This window comes from Homo sapiens, chromosome 3 (genome assembly GCF_000001405.40).
Source record: "Homo sapiens chromosome 3, GRCh38.p14 Primary Assembly".
Lineage (NCBI taxonomy): Eukaryota > Metazoa > Chordata > Mammalia > Primates > Hominidae > Homo > Homo sapiens.
Window position 1 is genome coordinate 156,779,876 of NC_000003.12, and position 24,372 is coordinate 156,804,247.

General features: G+C 38.5%; 1 long non-coding RNA gene across 1 annotated transcript in view, besides 1 other annotated feature; it reads right to left on the bottom strand.

Moving 5' to 3' along the window:
• The window catches only part of LINC00886 (long intergenic non-protein coding RNA 886), a 69,720-nt gene that overhangs the window by 32,533 nt on the left and 12,815 nt on the right, over positions 1-24,372 (bottom strand). The gene's annotated exons all lie outside the window — the stretch shown is intronic.
• Positions 8,480-8,549: an enhancer, noted in NCBI's record as "active region_20732". NCBI's record gives its function as "activates an Ori minimal core promoter by ATAC-STARR-seq in GM12878 lymphoblastoid cells {active_cell/tissue: GM12878}" and the evidence as "EXISTENCE:reporter gene assay evidence [ECO:0000049][PMID:35858748]".

Here is a 24,372-nt window from a genome sequence, read left to right on the forward strand (position 1 = left end):
TATTTCATGTCTAATCTATTTTGAAGGAGAGATTTGAAAAATTCTCAATATTTATATTATTTTTCTCTTGGCTTTCATTATTGTTTTAGTAATATTTTATTTGGATGTATGAATGAAAATAGACCAGGGCTAATACTCTGCTTAACAAACAAAATGTATTGGAATAGTCAATAAATGATAATAAATATGTGCCCTACAGTTGGTTAGTGTCTAACCATCTAAAGTGGCCCTGCCAGTAGCCTACAGATTTACTGGCTATCTCAGAATATGACTTTCAACTGGGAGCCCCTCCTCTCTGCATAGTCCATTTTTATTTATATAGCCATCAAAATTTATTGCTGAGACTAGATTAAAATGCCACTTTGTATACTCAATAATCATCATTTTGCTTTTTCCATTTTTAGCTTACTAGAAAAAAAAATGCTTAAATGTTTAAATGTCTCCATATATGGAACTATAGAGTTTGTTTGTTTGTTTTCCTATGTGAAGTGTAATGATTTTCAGTGCCTCTCTGGGTACTTTTGGAGATGGCAACAAATCTAAGCCAAGAATCCACGAAAGGCCAAATTCTTCCTTGGTCCATTTGTCTTTGGACAATTTTAAGAACACTCTATCAGTTTCTCAATTTTGTTGATTAGCAATCAGCTGATTTGGCATTCTTGGTCCACTGGGCTTATCCCATCCCCAAAAGGTAGGCATTGTCATTCCCAGAAAAGTAGTGCTACAGGCATCATGGGCACCTGGGACCTCAGTGGCCCTCTGGCCTAATTTTTCTTTAGGAAGATGAAGAGCCTGAGATAGAAAAAGTTGATAGAAGTAGTCCAAGCACACACAACTCTCAGCTAGTTGATGGCAGGGACAATATTGAATCTGAGATTCCAAGCTCTTACTTTTTTTGCTTTTCTCTGTTATATCTTACTACATATTTTACTGCTATTGAAAACACAGACATTATCTTGTATGAATACATTAAATTGCTCTGTCCCAACCTTATCCACATTCACTGGGACAATCAGTAGAGTTCTTTGAGCATTTAATGTGATCTACTACATCTTTAGGCAGGGAAATTCATTACTAGCTCAGAAATACAAACTGGTGGTTTATTGGACATTGCTTATGAATCTGGGCTTCACCACTAATTGTGTGAATTAATTAACTGGTCAACTAATTCTCCAATATGAAATAAGTGGGTTGGATAAGCGGCCTATGATGTATTTCCCAGCTCTTGTACTCCCCAGCTCTTGTACTCAGAGTTTTTATGAACTATCATTGCGACTCCCAATTATCTTGTTGGTAGGTGCATTTGGAACACATAATAATCCTTTTAGGTCTCGATTAAATGAGATCATGTTTTTTTAGTGGCTTAGCCAGTTTTGCTTCCTTATTTTTCCCATGTTGCTTTCAGTGCTTAGTACCCTAACCCTCTAATACTGTTTTTTTCCTCCAAATTACCACTAAATATATGGTGACCTGTCATTCTGTTCTGGCTAGTCTGGTCATTTTGTTTTGGGTCAGGGAGAGGTCTATTGCTAAAATCAGTAGAGAAGAAAATCTCCCAGGGGTACTCTACAGCATCCCAGGGACCAAGTCAACGGTTGTCAGACTTAGGACAATCAATATGCCTCTGGTTAAACTAGGTGTTGGTGCCTGGTCCTAAGGCCCTATGAATCCTTATGGGGAAACTGATTTCAGAACTTAAATAGATGCTTAGGACAGATCCTCTTTCTTGGAGCTTTTGAGTAGAGTCACACAAGGTGGGCCACAGACAGAAGAGAGCATCAGAAACTCAGAGGCATGATGTGTAAAGGCTTAAAACAGAAGCAATGAGGTAGGAGAAGACATGAAGTGGAGAAAAGTTACAAAAGGAAGCAAAATAAGGAAGATAAGAGAATGGCTGAGTCACAGTAATTGTACAGTCACTAGATAGATAAACAAACCTGAGGTGATGTCCAGATGACCAGAGCTCTTGTCATACTGTGAGAGCTTCAGAACTATTATTATACCATGTTCTAGTTCTCTGTGAGACCGGGCCACCTACAAGAGTCTTCTTGTAGCTCCATAGTTTTCCATGTGTTTTTCTAACAATTTCTGTCTCCTCAAGTAACCTAAGTATGCTCTGTACCTTGCCAAGTAAAAGAGCCTAAGTAACACGGTATCTTTGTCAAGTCCACACCCTAAACTGTTGGAGTGCCTGCATATTGCATGGGAGTAAGCACGCATACAGTGAGCCAGCATGCAGTAAGCCTTCAGTAAAGTTTGCTGAATAAAGCTGAGGGGTGTGTGATTACTTTGGGAATGACTGAGTCCATGTTAGGCTGGCAAAGAGTATTTCTATATTTGGATCAAGGTGTACCCAAAGTTATCTGAAAACTTGCGGGCTGGAGCAAAAGTGAAGCTTTGTGAGTAAGTGAAGGAAGAAATAGTTTAAGTGCAACATTACCAAGAAGGGCCTCAACTCAAAATATTTTTGCCTCCAACTTGCCATACTGCCTAAAATATAGACACGATATTAACTCCTTCAATGGAAGGCACTGGCTATCTAAGTGCTCACTTATAAAGTATTTATGTTCAGAGACAGGAGTAACACGTAAAACTTATCATATTTCATATCTTAGTGTGCATTCATTCAGCAAACGCATTTCTAGCAGATTTTTATCCTACGGACTGAGGAAATATGACTCTTGATGGTGTCAGGTCATGGAGTGTTGGAAGGTGGTACTTTTGGAGCATGGAGCACTGCTGAAAGAAATTAGGATGACCTAATTCTTGTGTGGAACAATATACATTCTGGTTACTCCTAGTGAAGGAAGAGGGAAGGAAACGGTAGGGATGTGAAATTCTTCCAGGCCTCATTCTAGATGACCCCAATTACCACATACAATACAAAAAGGGTAACAAGGATGATATGTGTTATATGACAAAGATTCTAGGTTTTGAAATAAGAAGATCTGAGCTTTATCCTCTACTGCTGTTTAATATATATGAAACTTAGGATTTCTGGGCTTCAGTTTCTTCATTTATAAAATGGGAGATAACAATATATCATTCTTCAGAGGGAGGTGGTAGAAACCATCTGAGAGAAATGGTGGTCAAATGATTTCAGTAATTGCAAACTGCATGTGTTGCAGTTCAGCCTGGAAGGAGCAGGGATATAAGAGTGACCTTAGTTGAGAGTAGGCCCTCCCTGCTGCTAAGGCTTCCTACCTCTCCTAGACCCAGGAAGAAGTACATGGATTCACTTTTCTCCCACCTCACATGACTATGGTGGTTACTCATCAAATCAAAGTAAATCTAGAGGTTTTTGCTGAGGAAAAGTTATGCTTTCTTTCCTGATAGAAAAGAGCACTGGCATTAAAGGCACTTGAGACATTTTTTTCCCCTCATCCTTTTCTCATCCTTTCTTTTCTAAATCTCTTCCAACAGATAGGTATAGTAGTTACAAAGCTTTAGTTGCAAATTACAGAAAACCTGAATCAAGCTGGTTTTAAGTAATATTGGAAAGTTAATGGTTTATATTACTAAATGGTCCAGTGATACATTTTCAGGTAAAGCTTGATCCAGCAGCAAAATGATGGCATCTAGGGCCTGGTTTCTTCCAATTGTTTCTCTGTTCTGTTCTTCATAGTAATTACTTTATTTTAATGCTGCTACTCATCATGATCCTAAGATAACTGCCAATTGATTCAGTGCTCTTGTCTATCAGGAAAGAAAGCATAACTTCTTCCCAGCAAAAACCTCTAGATTTACTTTGATTGGATGAACTTAGGTTACACATTCCCTTGGAACAAATCTCTAGCTAGAGGAGATAATATATTGGAGAGTTTAACCTAAGGCACATTAGCCATTCTGGGGCTGAAGGTGGATTCAGTTGTCCTAAAACCCCATGGATCGCAAAACAGTTTATGGGCTGATAAAGTGAATGGGGAGAAATGGATACTGAGGAGGTGCCACTAACAAAGACCACTATTACAGGTTAGAAGAAGATGCCATCCTTATATGTAAAGCTGCAGTGTCCAAATGCTTACAGACTTTGTCATTTGAAAACTAGAGCACATATTGTTTAAACCAAATTTGGTGTGTCTACTGTAACAGAAATTGACTTTCATCAATACGCATGAAAAGCAATCATTAACCTTTGGATTTTGTGATTTTATAAAGCATAGAAATCTATACTTCTGTGCTCTCAGGAGGGAAGCTTTTTTGTTTATACATTTTGGCCATTTTCAACATGCTCTAAATTGAAATGGAGAATGTACTTTTTTTTTTCTTCTAGTGTAACATTGAATAAGTAACAGCACAATGCAGGAAGTCAGTCTAGCCACAGCAAATCTGTACTTGTTTTTGTGAGAGGATGGGAAGAATGAATATTTGCCCTGTGGCATCAATTTCCTGTTTAATGTTCTCCAAGAGGCATTTGGAAAATGCCCAGCAACACGGATGTACGTAAATGCCACACATAACTTGTTTTCGTGAGTGGAAAGAGGAGCCTATAAAATTATGACAAGTCTGGTTTACCCTCACCTCCTGAGAGTTGGTGAGTCACTCTACCTTTAACTTAATGATTTGGAGGATGGATTATTCCAGAGTTTGGCACTGGAAGAACAAGCAGTATAGGAATAGCATGGCTTTTGGCTTCTTAGCCCAAGTTCTTATTCATTTAAGGCTACTTTTATCCTAAAGTTTGCCATATTCCTGCTGGAAATTGCCAATAAGAAATGTATACGTGGCCGGGCGCGGTGGCTCACGCCTGTAATCCCAGCACTTCAGGAGGCCGAGGCGGGCGGATCACCCGGTCGGGAGATTGAGACCATCCTAGCTAACTCGGTGAAACCCCACCTCTACTAAAAATACAAAAAATTAGCCGGGCGTGGTGGCGGGAACCTGTAATCTCAGCTACTTCGGAGGCTGAGGCAGGAAAATGGCGTGAACCCGAGAGGCGGAGCTTGCAGTGAGCCGAGATCGCGCCACTCTACTCCAGCCTGGGCGACAGAGCGAGACTCCGTCTCAAAAAAACAAAAACAGAAAAGAAATGTATACGTACCAGGACAGCCTTTATAAAGCAAGCAAAGAAACAAAATCCCTTCCAAAACAGAACCTATCTTTAAGATTTGCAGACACAAATTTGTTTTCAAACCACAGAAAAACATATGTACATGCCACATAATATCTCTTAAGGCATGGGCAGATGTGCTCTTACCCCAGACCACTCACATACCAGTTTTGGACATCTTATTTAAAAGGTCATGATGTGGTTGAAGAATCAAAACCTATTTTTGTTCAACAACTAATCTCTAGGGTTACTATAGAATTTAAAACCTTGACTCCGAAAATTCAGATATAAAGAATCTGTCCTCTAACTTCCCTTTTGAGCTACCTCCTGACATAAAGATGAGAATAGTTATGATCTATTAAGCACCTAGTCTGAACAAGAAATATCTTTCTATATGTTAATGCTAATCCTTAAAATACCTCACAATTTGTTCCATATCCCCTCATCTTATAGATGAGGAAATTGGGACTTAAAGAACATAAGTAACAGTCTAAGGTCACTCTGGTAGCTAGTGGAGCTGCATTCAAGTCTAGATCTGTCTGGCCATAAAGCCCAAGCTCTTTTCTCAAATTTAGAAATTGTCAATCTAGAATTCCTAAATGGGCCTCAGAATATTCTCAAGAGCCTAAAATTCGGTGCAAATCTGTAAGTATATGTGTATATGCATTTTTCTGGGGAGAGGATCTAAAACTTGTATCAGGTTTATCAGCTATATTTACAGAGCCTATCACAGTCTTGAAGACAGTAGGCACATGATAAATATTTGTTCAATAAATAATATGGGTCTGTGACACTAAAATAGGTTAAGAACCATTGCTTTTATTATGTGTCCCAGTACTGCTGTAGCTTGTCCCATTATCTATGCTATGATTTAACAGATTTGAATTTCCAGTGCTACTGCCTTTGTTTTGGACACATACATTCATTCTTTTTTTAAAAAAAGAAGATTTAAAATTCAGAATCTAGCTGATATGCCACTTAAAACTATTTGATATTTATATTAAAAAATTAAAAACTTTTAGACAGTATTGTCCAAGGATGATTTTCCTTAAACAGATCACAACAGTGCAAAGGACTGCAAACTATTTAGACTAGCAGTACGGAATAGAAATATAATGTGAGTTCCAAATGCAAGCCACATTTGCAATTTTAAACTTTCTAGTAGTCACACTTTAAAAAGTAAAAAGAAACAGGTAAAATTAATTTTAATAATATATTTTATTTAAATCACTATATCCAAAATATTATCATTTCAACCTGCAAGCAATATCAAAGATTATTGAGTTATTCCACATTTTTTTTTTCATGCTAAGTCTTGGAAAGCCAGTGTACATTTTACATTCAATTCAGAAGGCTCCCTTCTTCATACTTGGTGGCCACATTGGCTCATGGCTGCCATACTGAACAGTGCACGTAGAGACTCAGGTGACTGAAAGAGGTGGACAAGGTTGATGAAGGCCGCAACGAAGTAGGAAGAAAGTGCAGCAGGTTTTGGCATGTGAGGAGACACTTCAGTGATCCAAAGTACAATGATGTTAGGTCAGGCCGCCAGCTCATATTGCCAAAATTGCAGCTTTGTAGATGATTATTAAGATGGGCCCAAGAAAACAGTATAACATTCAGCATTTCAGCAGAAGTCTTTTCCTATTTCCACAGTCACCTTTTCTTGGAAACAGACACGCACATGGGTGCACATGTAGGGGAAGATGTGATGCAGAGTGACTAAAGTTTCGCCTAGTAATTATAATAATTTTGTTCTTTTAACCACACCTCGAGCAAAGGATCTGTGAGGTGTTTATTTATTTATTTATTTATTTTTTGAGATGGAGTCTTGCTCTGTCGCCCGTTGCTGGAGTGCAACGGCGTGATCTCAGCTCACTGCAACCTCCGCCTCCTGGGTTCAAGCAATTCTCCTGCCTCAGCCTCCCGAGTAGCTGGGATTACAGGCGCCTGCCACCATGCCCGGCTAATTTTTGTATTTTTTAGTAGAGATGGGGTTTCACCATGGTGGTCAGGCTGGTCTCAAACTCCTCACCTCAGGTGATCCACCTGCCTCAGCCTCCCAGAGGGATCTGTGAGTTTTATTGTGTGGGGTTTAGGCAGTCTCTGGCCCCTTAGGAGAGAAAGGAGAAGTAGAGGTCCAGAGTTGCATTCCTCCATTTCACTGATAAAGGAAGGAGGCTACAGAGAGCCTGAGAGTATAGACTGCAAGACCAGACCATACCTTAAAAGAGCCCAGGAAATTCTGTTCCACACCCTGACCAAGCTTAACTCACAGATCCTGTAAGTGCTTTCTGAGGCCCCACAAAGGCTTATCCTGCTCTGTGCTGTGGCTTGCCTCTTCTGAGGCCAGACACATGGCACACTTAAAACACCTTCTGCTACCAGGCAGGGCAGTTGTGTTATCTTGAAACCCACTTTGTTGGGCCTCAGAAAGCACTTACAGGATCTGTGAGTTAAGCTTGGTCAGGGTGTGGAATTCCCTGGCCTTAAATTAAAAGCATTTATTTTAGACCGAATGGTAGATGTTTTAAACTTTAAAAGAAAAAAAAATATGAAGACCTATATACAACTTGAAGAAAACTGAGATACCATTTATGAGATACATCCAAATTATCAGAGAGTAGACTGGTGCGAGGTTCCACGTGAGTGGAAAAAATTTCTCCAACACCGTTACTCACCACCACTGTTACCAACACCATCACCAGCATTACTACTACCATAATTGTTACTATTATAGGCGGTCTTCCATATCCACAAGTGCCACATCCATGGTTTCAACCAACCACTGATGGAAAATATTTGAAAAATAAAAAATAACAATGCAACAATACAAGTAAAAAAATACAGTATAACAACTACTTACATAGCACTTACATTGTATTAGGCATTATAAGTAAACTAGAGATGATTTAAAGTATATGGGAGTATATGGGTCGATTATATGCAAACACTATATTATTTTACATAAGGGACTTGAGCATCGCAGATTTTGGTGTTGGGGAGGTGCTTCCTAGAACCAATTCCCTGTGGATACTGAGGGAAAATTGTACCACCATCATCACCACCACCAACATGCCTCTCCTTCCATTTATCTGCTCCATGTGGTTGGGAAAAGGACCTAGGAAAATAACATTTTGTGGGGAGCTTCTTTTGCACTTAGGGCTACATCTTCCCAGCAGGTTACAGGGTCATGGTGTGGTAGGAATTGGAAAGTGCAGCATCTGTAAACCAATCCACAACCCAAACAATTTTTTCCTATTCTATAATGATGAAAAGTCACTTGCTGAGCTACCATCGAACAGCAGAATAGAAAAGTCTAAGAAAGCAATTAACTAGCAGGGTGAAAATACAAGTCAGAGATGACTGCTGCTGAAACCCCATGGGGAGTAATGAGATAAGAATTCTTAGGACTTAATTCATAACAGAGACAGTCAGAGTGTGGAGGAGTGGATGGGTAGGCAATGACTCATGTTCCCTGCCCAGGGTACAACCTCAAAATAGTGAGACTGATCCTACAGGCATATATGAAAACCAGTCTCAGAACTGCACTCACTAGTCATGGATGATCTTTGTGCTGGTTAATTTCTAAGACTGCTTTTGTAACAGAGTGGTGCCCTGATCACAGCTAGTTTACAATCAGAAGCAGCTGAGGAGGCTGGTTCTTCAACATGTATGATCTTGAGCAAGCTTCCTAATTCTCTGAACCTGTGTCTTCATCTGCAAAATGAGAATAATTCAGTATAAATTAGAAAATGCATAGTTAATTACATAGAATCTTCAAAACATATTGGGAATGATGGTGATAATGTGGACCTTGTTTACTAGCAGAATGCTTGCCTTATCTCTATTCATCTCCTCTACATTCCTAGGAAATAGGTACTATTATTATCTCCATTTTACAAATGAGCAAGGTTACTAAAGCTCAGCAAGGTTAATGTCACATAGCTTGCAGAAAGATTTCTTCTACTATACAACTTGATCTCTTTAACATGTAAACTGTGTAATTTGCAATAGTTTGAAAATCAATGGAAGATGAAAATGATCCAAACCCCAAAAATAAATACATATGGGAAAAGTTACGATCTGGACCAACTGCATTCAAAGGAAATGCAGTTTTATTAGTTTCAAGGACATACAGTAACCAGAAAATGACTAACAAGTGCTGGCAGTTCGGGCCCAGACTTAGTAAATAGATAAAAATGATTAGCATATCTAAGAAGTTCTTGTCTTGCTTTCTATGATGGTTAATACTGACTGTCAACTTGATTGGATCGAAGGATGCAAAGTATTGATCCTAGATGTGTCTGTGAGGGTGTTGCCAAAGGAGATTAACATTTGGCAACAGTCAGTGGGCTGGGGAAGGCAGACCCACCATTAATCTGGTGGGCACAATCTAATCAGCTGCCACTGAATATAAAGCAGGCAGAAAAACGTGAAAATGCAAGACTGGCCTAGCCTTCTAGCCTGCATCTTTCTCCTGTGCTCGATGTTTCCTGCCCTCAAGCATGGGACTCCAAGTTCTTCAGTTTTAAGACTCGGACTGGCTCCCCTTGCTCCTCAAGCTTGCAGACAAGCCTATTGTGGGACTTCGTAATTGTGTAAGTTAATACTTACTAGACTACCCATTATATATATCCTATTAATTCTGTACCTCTAGGGAACCCTGACTAACATACCTTCATTTTGAATAGAGTGTTTTATAAATAAAAGAAAACTGAAGTGTTGGAAAACAAATTATTTTCTCTGGTAAGTAAATGTTTTTCAACTATTACTTAAAATGTTTATTTACTTATTAAGCATTTTTTTTACAGATAGCATAAAAGTACACTTCAATCCCTGCAGAAATAATAAAAAAATTAGAGATTAAAAATATCCAAATTGTTTTATTGTAAATGTTAAAATTTCTAACCAGCTTGTGTTTTAATTCTTTAAAATATAATGTTCTAAATAAATGTAAATTTCTAAAATGTTTTTCAAATCTCAGTTATCCAAACTTCACAAAAAAGATTTATTCTGGTATCAGCTATGTCCTTTGTTATTTTACAGAGTTTTTGAGAAATGCAATTTTTTTTGAAATTAAATACTTAGGTAATTTCTGAGTACTCTTTATAATAGAAAATGGAAAGACAGAGAAGAAAGTGTTCAGACTATAGGCTTTGACAACACTGGTGGTAAGTCTGCCCTCAGTCATGAACCCAAGACTTCCATTCACTTTGGTGTCCCAGACATGGCCCAACTTGGGTGTGGAATCTTTTAGCTATTGCTGTTAATCCATGTAAACTATCTCAGTGAAATGTGTTCTCTTTAAAAGTTAATCAATCATTGCAAAAGAACAATGAGTTTTTTTAAATTAGATATAGTGGGCCCAAACCATGCCAAATATTTTGTGGTTTTCTGGGAATACAGAAAAGGTAGTTATTGGTATTGAAATAAATGCAGATCTCAGTAAGTCCCAGCTGTTGAACATATGATCACTATTTGGGAGAACAAATAGCAATATTTTTTCCATCCCTGGAGTACATTCTGCTCTTGATATGCATGCATAACTACAATAAACAATTAATGGGAGTTACAGAGAAAGGAGACTAAAGGACTACATTTCTTTTCTGTTGCCTAAATGAAACTTCATTTGGTTGATATCTGTCTAGAGTTAGATTTCCATATGATATAAATGCTGCGTTAGTATTTTAATTCCATTTTGATAGGATGTCTTTCTTTAAAAAAGCCAACGAAACATCTGTAATAAATTTTTATTAGGTAGTACTTGTTTTTTATTACATATTTGTGGATATAACTAAATTTAATTCTAAACAAACAAGTACTAAGCACCTGCTTTATGACCAGCACTATAACCTGAGAAGCAAAGGAGAAGCACCAGGCACTGCCCTTGAAGAACATTAAGTTTGAGTAGACAGGTAAAACATGTTTATCCAAAATCACAGATATGTAGAGTTGGAAGGTACCTCAGAGGTAATACAATCTTGAGTTTGCATATTGAAATTCCAACACAGAGTTAACAGAAACAAGTGAAATATCCGAACAAGTTGAGCATCATATCATGTTGGTGTCTACACCTGATGTTAAGGGACAGCTGCTTTCTTTCTCAATGAGCTTTCTGCCACCCCAAAATGTGGGTCTATTCTGATCTTTTTCAGAGTGTATATAATTCCAAGCTTTCCAAAATTTCTCAATTTTTAAACATTGTCAACTAATTTGAGTTTTACTAAGTCTGAATGAAACACATAGGTGGGCCTTATCCAACTAAGACAGAGCAGGAACCCTCTTAAGAGTCTGCTGGGCACCTCTCACCATGCGCTCCAAGCATGGAAATAAAGGAAAATCTTGAGTTCCTTCAAGGGAAATTCCAAGCACCTAGCGAGCCTCCAGAAGTAAATGAGCAATTTAGCCCTGGCGCAGTGGCTCACGCCTGTAATCCCAGCACTTTGGGAGGCCGAGGCGGGCGGATCACCTGAAATCAGGAGTTCAAGACCAGTCTGCCCCACATGGTGAAACTGTCTCTACTAAAAACACAAAAAATTAGCTGGGCATGGTGGCATGCACCTGTAGTCCCAGCTACTTGGGAGGCTGAGGCAGGAGAATTGCTTGAACCTGGGAGATGAAAGCTGCAGTGAGCCAAGATTGCGCCACTGCACTCCAGCCTGGGTGACAAAGCAAGACTGTCTTAACAAAAAAAAAAGGAAATGAGCAACTTGATAAGCAATAAGGTAACAGTAGCTTAAAACAACAGCCAAGAAAGTTATTCATTAGATGTTTGATTCCCTATAGAAACTAAAGATACTAATAACACCCTAACATATGTCCCTGAGTTATTTTTCAGAAACTTGGACACTATTAAATTGAAAATGCTGTCTGCTGACATGTAGACTTCAGATAAGGGGGAACTGAGGACTGAACTATGACCTCTGTTCTTTGTTCTAAATTTCTTTCTGAGGAGCCTGGAGGAAGTCACATCCACAGGCTCAACATTCCTTTCTGCGGGCTCCAAATTGTTAGACAAAGCTTCACCTTCTTAACCAAAAAAAATCAGAAAATCTTTGAATCTACCTATGACCAGTGGGCCCCTGCTTTGAGATGTCCGTCCTTTTTAGGTCAAACCAAAGTATAGCCTTTATGTGTTGATTCATGACTTTACTTAAAACCTCTGCCTTCCTGCCTTTAAAAACCCCTACATGCAAGCCATCGGGGAGTTCAGGTCTTAATCATGAGCTTCCCAATTCTCCCTGCTTGGCACCCTGCAATAAATGCCTTATTTTCTTTCACTGCAAATCTCAATGTCAGCGTTTGGCTTTGCTGCACCGGGCAGGCCAACCAAAGTTTGGCTCAGTAACACAATCTGTGGCCTGCCATTTTGCAACCTCTGGTCTGCAAATGAAAGGCCTAACCCCTTGATTTTACAGATGTTGAAAATGGTCTGTCCAAAGTCTGAAATTATTTGCCAGGACTCCCAGTCCAAAGCTTTTTTCACATAACTATATCCTCTCTCAACAAGAAAATAACTAGATGACTCAAAAAGAAAAACACTGTGTTATAAAGCAACATGTTAAAAATAAATTAAAGCACAAGATAATATAATGAAAACTACAGGGGTAAATCCTGTGGGGAAGAGAAGTAATATAATGCTCATGGCAGGAAGAATTTGAGAAGGCCTTTTTTTAAGTGGTATTTGAGCTAGATTTTGAAGAAAGTGACTAATAAAAATTGACAAAAAGAAAGAGTGAACGGAATTCAGTAGAAGAAAACACATGTCTAAGGATTGGCAAATAAATATGCAAGACATCACAGAGAATTTGTTGGCTTAATCGGAGAGTAAAAATTATGTCAGCATAATTCATTCAACAAATATTTATTGGGTTCTGCGTGTCAGGCACTGTTCTAGGTCTTAGGAATACAGCAGCCAGTAAGAAAGCCAAATTCTAGGCCCTTGTAGGCTATTTATTCTAGTGGCACAGATAGATAATAAGCAAGTGAAAAATAATATGAAGTACTATGAATAAAATACAACTAAGAAATGTGACAGTAGTGGCTGTACGTGTACAATATTAGACAGGATTGTCAGGGAAGGCCTCGCTGAGGAGATGGCATTTGGACTGAGTCCCAACAGAGGAGAAGTCATGCAATGACCCATGTGAAGAGCTCTCAAGGCAAGAGAGAAGCTAGCACACAGGGCCTGGCTAGGAAGGGACAGGAAGAACAGAGCATGGCTACAGCAGAGTGAGCTGTGGTGAAGATGGCAGGAAATGAGGTCAGAAAGACAGGCAGACACTTCTTAGGCCTGGGTAAAAAGTCTGGAATGAAATGAGGTTTCCTACAGGGAAGCAGTATAAGTTGATTATAAATGGAGAGTTTCCAACAAGAAAGTAGCATTATTTGATAAGAAAAGGAAGTAGATAATAGAGATCCTTGAATTGAAGCTGACGGAATATAGTCAATTTCTGGGAGATGCTATAGATTTCAGTGGGCAGAACAAGAATGAAAATGGTGAATGAGTCTCTTCTGTTTACTGAGTGCAGAATGGGTTGGGGTCAGGAGCTCTGGGTGAACCCTGGTGTAGATGCCCAGGTATAAGGGAGGATTATAATTCAGTCAGGAGTGGTGGAAATGAAGAGGAGGAAGTATCATAAACACTAAACAGAATGAATGGATATAAGTTGGAACAAATGAAATAAAAAAACTGTTGAGAGAAACATGCACGTTTCAGTGCTGGGAGGCCATTTTAGGAAGTGGCCTTAATGACTAAGATGAGAGAGAACTATCAAGATGTAAACTTTTAGGGAATCACAAGACATGTATTACAAGCAATTAGAAATATAAAATTAGAGGCCTTGGGGGTGACAGGTCAAGGCAGCAGAGAGGTTTGGAACTACTCTTTGTATCAATAAAAATGGAAGCTAACAAGAGGTTTAACTCCCAGAAGGTAATGGAAAGGAAGAGAAAGAAGTAAAAAAAAGAAAAAAATCCTAAATATATCCACAGCAAGGGTGAGAGTTCAGTGTCGCTAGGTGTTTATTCTGTTTTATTTTTTAAATTGGTCTGTTCAGTCAAGGAAAAAAGAACAAAGCCCCTTTGTGAACTCAGCGCTGGAAAAAAACAGCTTGCTGGAAACAGACAGCTATTATTTATCAATGTAATAAACACTAATATGTTTTATTGTAAGAAAGTGTTATTTGAAACAAAATTTAAAGACACTTAAAATTTACACTCAGTTGAATGGATTCTCTGTAATCTTTACTTACTATTGATGATTACTCAATGTCTGAATGTAAATTTGAGTCTTTTCCTGGATTCTCTAGCCTCCCTACACAGTCTAAGGCTGATAGTCCTGAACTTGAAGGCTCTGAGTTTACAAATCAAACTAAACAAAACTTCAGCCAGACTTAAAAAAACAAACAGCTCTTTACTTTAACCATAGAAAAGCATTAATTTTATCTTTCAACAAAAATAAAATTTGATAAGACCTTTAATAGTAGAGGAATAACTGTTTTAGCATAGCATAGAGCAGGAGATCATTTAAGGAACAAAACAGTTGATTGTTTTATAGGAAGACCCTTGACTATTGTCAGTTCCTCTTAAAAATAAGAATCAAAAGCCAGGCGTGGTGGCTCATGCCTGTAATCTCAGCACTTGAGGTCACGAGTTCGAGACCAGCCTGGGCAATGTGGAGAAACCCCATCTCTACAAATAATAATAATAAAAAAAAGCCAGGCATGGTGGTGTATTCCTGTAGCCCCAGCTACTTGGGAGTGTGAGGTGGAAGGATCCCTTGAGCCCAGGAGGTGGAGGCTGCAGTGAGCCAAGATCATGCCAGTGCACTCCAGCCTGGATGACAGAGTGAGTCCCTGTCTCAAAACAATAATAGTAAGAATCAGCACGGTAAAATGAGAATAGAGAAAAAGAGCAAGGACCAATTTTGCCATTCAAAATGCCACATGGTGCATTCCCTGAAAAAATTCTGAGAAAATTATACCATTCTGAAAAATTCTAAAGGAATTTCTCTGAACTGTTTTTAAAATGCTTCCACTTTTGTGTTTGTTTTTTGGGAAAATTACTAGTATTGTTTTTGTAACATTAAATATGTTCACCAGTGCTCATCATCAAGAATTAAAACAATACAAATCTGAACACGAAAAAAAATCTCACTTTTTACCACATATCATTAAGAGTATAAAAACTTATCCAACTGGATGCAGTAGCTCACACCTGTAATCCCAGCACTTTGGGAGGCCAAGGCAGGAGGATCACGAGGTCAAAAGATCAAGACTACCCTGGCCAACATAGTGAAACCCCGTCTCTACTAAAAACACAAAAATCAGCTGGGCATGGTGGCGTGTGCCTGTAGTCCCAGCTACTCAGGAGGCTGAGGCAGAATTGCTTGAACCTGAGAGGTGGAGGTTGTAGTGAGCTGAGATTGTGTCACTGCACTTCAGCCTGGCGACAGAATGAGACTCCATCTCAAAAACAAACAAAAAAAAACCGTATCCAGATTCTTTCTCCGCATATATGTAAATGAGAAGATAGGTAGACAGAAGGGTAAAAATGTAGTATGGAGATAGAGAAATACTTTAATGAAAGTTAGGTACTGTGTTGCTATTTTTGGTAAACTGTATTGCATTTCATTTGACCTGAATTTCAGTAGAAGAAAAGGCAAAAAATAAAGGAGGAAAAAGAAGGACTAAAATATCAGAAAACACAAAAAGCATTACAGTACTTTGGCCTGTGGTGCCATGCAATTATCTATGAGGTGTGCTAATGCTTTGATTTAGTAGACATTTATTGGCTTTATGTATGTTACGTTATGTATGTATGTACATGTTTAATACTTCATTTTGATATATTACCCTGATTAATCTATCATGTTTAACCCATTCAGTCATAATGTATAAAATGGCTTTCCATCAAGAGAACATATTTTCCATTGATATATGCTAAAAACTAAGAGAATGTAGTATAGGCAATCCTCTCTTTGCATAGTTCTGATATGCATGAATTTCAGTTACCACATTTTAATTAAATAATACTAGTCCTCCATTAACACAGCTCAAGTTTCAGTTACCATGGTATATTAACTGTAAGTAATCATATAAAGTACAAAGTTTGCTCCTAGCTCTTGACAAATCACTAAGTAAATAACAGACACATATCATGATCCATGACCAATTACATCACTTCCTTCAGAATAGTGTGTGATTGGTCACTGCACATCTGTTATTCAGTTTACCCCCAGAGAGCAAAGTGTACAGCTGTGTTGTCTTCTTGTCAACCAGTGATTAACCCCTGTAACATTTTCTAAAAATGGGTAATCAAAAAAGTGAACTGACTAACAAAGATGGAAGTACAGCAAAGAAATGAAAAGTGAAAGTGCTGGAAGTGAAATTTGAATCCAATGTAAATGGAGTTATAGAAGAAAATGCTGACTGTGGCAATGTTGACACTGCTGGGGTTTCAGAGCTTCTAGATATGCAGCCAGAGGAACTCATCAACATCAGTGAGTAAAGTGGTTGTGATGAAAAGGATGACAATGTCCCAGAGGAAGTGATTCCAGGAAGATATTTCACATTAAAGAAACTCTAGGAGGCCAGGCGTGGTGGCTCACGCCTGTAATCCTAGCACTTTGGGAGGCTGAGGTGGGTGGATCACCTGAGGTCAGGAGTTCGAGACCAGCCTGGCCAACATGATGAAACCCCATCTCTACTAAAAATACAAAAATTAGCCAGGCTTGGTGGTGGGTGCCTGTAATCCCAGCTACTCAGGAGGCTGAGGCAGGCAGAGGTTGCAGTGAGCCAAGATTGCAGCATTGCATTCCAGCCTGGGTGACAGAGCGAGACTCCATCTCAAAAAAAAAAAAAAAAAAAAAAAAGAAAGAAACTCTAGAAGATATTTCATGACATAAAAAATGCAAAGGATAAATTGTTGGAAGCTGATTTAAACCTAGAAAGGTACATAAAATTCGCCAAGGCATAGAAAAGATATGGTAAGTTATACAATGAGAAGAAGGCAAATACTATTGAAACTACTCTTGATGAGTTTTTTACAAAAAAGTAAAATACTTTGATCCTCAATGTTTCTAATGTTTTATAGTATATTAAATGTTAATTTTTACTATTTTTTCATTTCTTTACACATTTGTAATGACTGTAAGAGAGTTTTTAATGTTTTCTCAAAAATTTGTCAGGGACATGGAATAATCATGTCCCACTGATTATTAAGATCACTTCCCATGGCTTCTGCTTGCAGTCTTTTTCATGATCCTGTGCAAAAGTGAGGTCTGCCTATACCTAATTATATCATGCAAATTAGGACTTAAATATATTTTGTCTCCATTTCATGTATCTTGACTGCCTAACTAGATTTTTAAACTACTTAATTGCAGAAATAAGGCACCCTCTAACTTCCACATTGCCTACCTCACTTAGAACATCATTGAATATTTGCCAAGTGCTTAATTAGTACTTACTGATTCACTAATTATTATTATATTGAATGTTAGGGTGTTGATAGTGTGAAGTCATAATAATAAATGTTATTTTTTTCGTTAGAGTATAAACTTTACCCATTCTACTTTCCACTGTTAGGGCTATAAATATGACCTCTAGACTGTGCCCTGCTAGCTCCAGGGTGCACTGTTGCAAACAGTGGCCTGTGGATTTGCTTCATGTACAACCTTTATAATCCACAGGCAGCCCTGATGCACATTCCCAGAACCTAGAACAAAGGCACAGAATATTTGTTGATGAATTTAATTAATAATTACTGTGACTGCACTGCACATTACTTTATGCCAGATGTTTTATATACATTATCTCATTTTATCTTTACAATAATAATCCTATGACCCCAATTTTATAGATGAAAAAAGCTTAGCTCAGAGAGATTAAGTGACCCACCCAGGAAGGACATGTTAGAGCTGGAATACGAATCCAGGGCTGTCTTATTCTAATGTGTCTCAGCCACTACAGTGATGAAAAACTGACATCAGTGCCATCAAATGATGTGGAAATGGATTATACAGAAAGATGATGCAATTAAAAATCTCTTCAAATTCATTTTTTTTTAAATCACAGGCCTATTTTGACAAGGTGAGTACTTCTCATCAAATTTATGTTTGCATAATTTTCCATTTATAATTTCTCTTATGATATTTTTTAAAAAACTAATTCTCAAAAAGAATCACAAAAATGTATTTCTTATATTAGCCATAAGTGGGAAAATATGAGACATAAATGGTAAAAAATTATATTATGATTATTTAAGACAGCCTCTATATTTATAGGTCACTTTAAAAAGTTCTTCTGTTGTATCAAAGCATGTGTGAGTAACATCTGTTACATTTTCAAAAGTTCATGTTTTTTAAAAAGTTGGTTTTCTGCTTTGATATATCACTATACAAACACTTGATAGACACTTCTGGCTAATAAACTATTGATTGCAGGGGAGAAGTATCACTGTGGTACTATATAAACTATAAATATCTATTCATTTTAATTTCTTACCATAGTAACAGCACACCAGATCAACCACAGTAGGCTTTTCATGGGAAATGCCAGGTAGCACATGAAACTTGAAGAGGCCATCATGGACTATATAAGAGGCTGTGATGGAACTGGGTAAACCCACTATTACTAGAGGACTGTTATCACTGTCAACTTAGCAATGCCACTGCTTCACACTTGCTTTCTTTTACTTTGTATGTAATAAAATATGCTTTTGACTATTCTTCTCCCCAACAAACAGATGCATATATACTATTTGGTGGAAGTTTCCATTTGAATCCACTGCTGAACAGATATTGTGCCTTACTATCTAATTTCTGCCCCCCAGCCCCTTCCCCTTTCCTTTCTGAGGAGTCTATGTTAAAACTGCTTTTTAAAATCAGGATTTTATTCTTTGAATTTATTTCTTTGATATTTGTTCTACTTTTAGACTCCTGCTGTGTGCTATTCACAATGCCTTTTTCTGGTAGTTCACTTTGCCTTCCTTCAAACCTTCACAGTTGTCTTCCTTTTCTTTAAACAAGAAGATCAATTCATTTAGAAGATCAATTGCATTTAGTAGATGCTCATGTAATGTGGCACCTTGGCCTATATTTGGGACCTAAAATTATTATATCAATAGTGGTCAGTTAGTGGGGCTCTTCTGTTGACATTCTCTCTCTCAGATATCTCAGCCTCCTTGGGGCTTAAATCATATCACCTCTGTGCAGATTCAATCATTTAACAACTATTTATTGAATACTTACTATATGCCGGGCCTATAGATACGGTGGTGAAAAATAATCCTCTTACTTTCATTGAGCTTACATTTTCATGGGGAGGATATTAAACAAAAGAGTGAGTAAAAGAATAAGCAATATAAATTCTGATAGATAACTGCAACTGTAGGGGAGGAAAAAATTTTCCTCTACTCTTTTAGTTTCTGTACCTGAAAACTGTGAATTCACTGAAGAAAAGCATACACATTTTATTTGATGTTAATAGTGTGACATGGTATGGCAGCTTCACGAGAAAGACATGAAAATCCCAAAGAAGCAGTTGGACTCAGGGATTATATACCATATAAACAAAGGGCAATAAATTGTGGAAAAGAAACTAGACAAAGGAAAGGGGTTTTGGTTCATAGGGGTGGTAAACTACGGGAACATGACTAGGAAATATATGGGTGAAACTAATACAATTTAAGGGTCATTCTTAAATTTTATTCCTTGTGCACACTCATCTCAGTGTCAACGCCTCATCTCTGGTAACAAGAATGTTCTTTTCTTCCTGGTACCAGGAATATCAGGAAGACATTTTTTCTGGAAAAAAAAAAAAAAAAAAAAAAAAAAGGCAGAGAGCCTTTTGCATCTGCTGTCTCTCGATTACCTTTAGATCAAATGGTTAATATGTCAAAGCAGCTCTGATCCCATTCACTATGAAGGCAGTAAGTGGGTACTATGGTGGGGTGGGAATGCACTACTTTAAATAGGGTGATTAGGGATTAGGTTTTTAAGAAATGACATTTGCTCTGAGAACTGACGGCGATATGTTGGTCAGTCAGCCAAAATCCCAAGAAAGACATTTTCAGGAAGAGGAAGCAGTACTGCTACCCTGAGGTAGCAATGAGCTTGTCCTGTTTGAAGAACAGAAGAAGGTCAGGTGGCTAAAGAGGGGTAAGCAAGGGTGAGTGTGGAGGAGGTAAGGCCAAGGAATAGTCAGGGGCTGGATCCTGTGAGGCCACTGTGGGTCAGGGAAGGCACTTGGGTTTTATTCCAAACGTAATAAGAGGGGGCTCCTGAAGGATTTAAAGAGGAGATACATATAAGTCAATGTATATTTTTAAAAGTTTACTCAGAATATGTGTGTAAAATGGATTTTAGGAGGTAGGATAGTGTATTAGTCTGTTCTTACGCTGCTAATAAAGACATACCTGAGACTGGGTAATTTACAAAGAAAAAGAGGTTAAATGGACTCACAGTTCCACATGGCTGGGGAGGCCTCACAATCATGGCGGAAGGTGAAGGAAGAGCAAAGGCACGTCTTACATGGTGGCAGGCAAGAGAGCATGTGCAGGGGAACTCCCCTTTCTAAAACTATCAGATCTTGTGAGACTTATTCACTATCAGGAGAACGGCATGGGAAAAACCTGCCCCCATTACTCAATTACCTCCCACCCATCCTTCTCATGACATGTTGGGATTATGGGGGCTACAATTCAAGATGAGATCTGGGTGGGGACACAGCCAAACCATTTCAGGTAGTAAACATGGGAAGAACAGTTGAGAGCCGAATGGTGGCTTAGACGAGGTGACAGCAGTAGAAATGGGAAAAAGCAGATAGATTCAGAATATATTTTGGAAGTAGAATCACTATGACTGGCTGATGAAGTAGATATAGGAGAAAGAGGTAAGTAAGGAATTTTAAAAAGACTGTTAGGATTTGACTTGACTACTATGGTGTGTACTGAGAAGAGAAGACCGGGGAAGAACAGGTTGGGAGTGAAGAATGAGGAATTCTGTTTGAACATGTTCAGTGTGAGATGTCTATTAGATATCCCAGGGAGATGTCTACAGTAGAGCTTGGATTTCGGGGGAGGTTGGCATCTTGACCCTAGGTTTGAAGAGCAAACAGTTTAAGAAAAAAATAAAATATCTATCTTGAAATCAGACATGCTGGGTTCAGTAGCTCATGCCTGTAATCCCAGCACTTTGGGAGGCCGAGGCAGGCACCTCTTTGAGGTCAGGAGTTTGAGACCAGCCTGGCCAACATGGTGAAACGCTGTCTCTACTAACAATACAAAAATTAGCTGGGCATGGTGACGCAATCCTCCTGTAATCCCAGCTACTCGGGTGGCTAAGGCAGGAGTATCACTTGAACCCAGAAGGTGAAGGTTGCAGTGAGCTGAGATTGAGCTACTGCACTCCAGCCTGGGTGACAGAGTGAGACTCTGTCTCAAAAAAAAATAGATTATATCTTCACTAATTAATGTTTTGGTCAACTGCCACATTTTGGAAAACAAAATGACTGATGACAGTAGGTTGATACTACAGGGTACTTTTGACATTTGCTGTCAACTCAATGTAGACAGTATTTCTCAGAGTAGCATTTTCAAAGTGTGCATCTGGGAATGTTCCAAACAATTTCCCAATGGATTCTAAAGTTAGACTTACTGGATTTAAATCCCAACTCCATCACTTACTAACTTTGTGGCAAATTACTAGATTCTCCATGTCTCAGTTTCCATGTGTATAGAATGGAGATAATAGTGGCTTCGCAGGGTAGATTTCATCAGAGGCCTCTTAACAGTCTTATGTGGAAATTACATGGAGGGAGATACAAGAGCAATGAAGGTTATGTTGTCTATGGGTCCCAAAGCTGACTTAGGCCGGAGCTGGATTGGCCCAGGAGGAGTTGGTTAAGGTGCTCAATTCGGCAATATAAGAAGAACTGAGCCCTTTCTATGGCCTCCTCCATTTTGAGATGTACTATGAAGATAGTGAGGCCTGCTGCCAACTGAGGAGGATGTGGAACAATACCAGTCTTGGCCTTGGGCTATTAAGACTTGCCTTAAGAAAGAATGCATGTTTGTTGTTCAGACAGATACCCATAATGCAGTGGTTCTCAAACTTAAGTGTGCATTAGAATCCCCTGGAGGGCTTGTTAAAGCTGAGATTGCTGGACCCTACTCACAGAATTTTACATTGAGTAGGTGTTGGATGCAGCTGGAACAAATTTCCAGGTGATATTGATGCTCCAAGGACCACAATTTCAGAATCACTGCCCTAATGCATCTTAGAGACCTAGGAAGTTGGTGTGACTGACCTCATAATCTGTACCTGTCACAGGCAGGAGTTATCCATATTGGCAACAATGTTAACAATGAATACAAAATTCTCAAACTATGGGAAAATCCCACCTCTAAATATAAAGTCTCTCAGCTCGAGAGAGAAAATTCCTGGCTTCCAACATCAACTAGATCAGAAATACAGTTGATATAAAGTATATAAAAAAGGTAAGAAACTTCCCTAAAAAGCACCTTTCCCTGTGTTGTACACCATCTGAGGGCTTGGCTTCCCTAGCTGGGACCCCTGCATTCTACATAGGTTGCATTAACTATAGAAATTGGGACCAGACAGTAGCCTGACCAGAATTACAACCTCCATGCCTCATTTGAAATGGCACTTCCTCATGGAGATTTGTGTGATCTACCTTAAGAATTTCATCTGGGGCTTTCAATCATACCTCAGGTGGTCAAATTTGGCCCAGAAGAAAGAAAAGCCTGGGAGTTTCTCATAGTCCTAGTCCCAAAAGACTGTTTCATTTCTACTTTACAGGCAACTAAGAATAAGATAGTTTTTTTCTTTAATTCATTCTTTTTCTCCCTGTGTTGGTCTGTATGGGCTTCTATTGACAAAAATACCATAGACTAGCTGGCATATGAATAGTACAAATTTATTCCTTACAGTTTTGGAGGCTGGAAATCCCAGATCAGGGTGCTAACATGGTTGACTTCTGGTGAGGTCACTCTAGGCTGTAGACTGCTGACTTCTCATTGTATCCTCACATGGGAAAGAGCAGAGAGTAGCATGCTCTCTCATGGCCCTTATAAGGGCACTAATCCCATTCATGAGTGCTCTTACATCATGAGCTCATGTAATCTTTACTTCCCAAAGGCCTCACCTCCTAATACTGTCACACTGGGGAGTAAGGTTTCAAGATATAAATTTGGGGAGGGGAACACTTAGTCCATAATACTATCCTCCTATTTCCTGAAGGAAAGTTACTGTGCAGGTTTGTTCCATTTGGATCCTCTGGTCCTTAATCTTCCTATCAGAGCCTGTATTATATACTTTGGAGGCTTTCTTGATGTCTAATTGGCAGCTAAATCTCCTCTCTCATGCTGTCACAATCTCTTTGACTTTTTTTCTCCTCTCAAACATCCCTATTGCTGTTTTCCCTTTGCTTTCTGGAATTAATGGGTGGATTAGCAGTCAGGTCAAGCTAAATTATGCTGCAATAACAAGTGACCCTGATATTTTAGTGGTTTAAAACAAAAGTGTTTTTATTTACATTAATTCCTCATTATGTAAATAGCAGGTCATCTTCAATTTCATTCCATTCTACTTATTTTTTCCCTGTCATCCAAGCCATTAATAGTTTCTTTGGAATCCACAAATGATCTGAAGCCATCTTTAGTTGAAAAATCGAGAAAGGGAAGAAAGAGGTTAAACGGAGAAAAAAAAATGCTCCTCTCTTTTTAAGAAGCTTAAATTAATGGACTTCCTTATGTATCCACAAAACTATGCTTCAGAGGAAAAGTTCATCTGTCCTGCTCAGCATAGGCTAATGACATTACCATTTGTTGGTGGTCATTTTAGTCATTGATCCTGTTTGCTATGATTGTGTATAGATCTTGGGGTACTTTATGAACACTCTTAACTCCATTGTGTCCAGAAAGTACAAAGGCTTAAGGATGTTTGAAGAGTTATGAAGACTGTTTGAAGAGGATGCATATGCCTATGATGGAAACAAAAGTGGAGAGAATAAACATTTTAAGTGAAGAGAAAATGATGACAGTTGCATGTGTGTAAGGGATGAATTATTTCACAGAAGAAACAGTTTTGAAGGACAAAGAGAATCAGGAAGCAATTGAAGAGCCAGGCTTTTGCAATCAGGAGTAATCAGCAAGAGATGAGGCAAAGTGATTAGCAAAATGGAAAGCCTGGCACTAGGAGTTAGACAATCAGAATCAACACAGATGTCCTTTAGCCCATGTTAATTCGAAAGGCCAAGTGTTTGTTTGAGAACTTAAAGGCTAAATATGTTTGT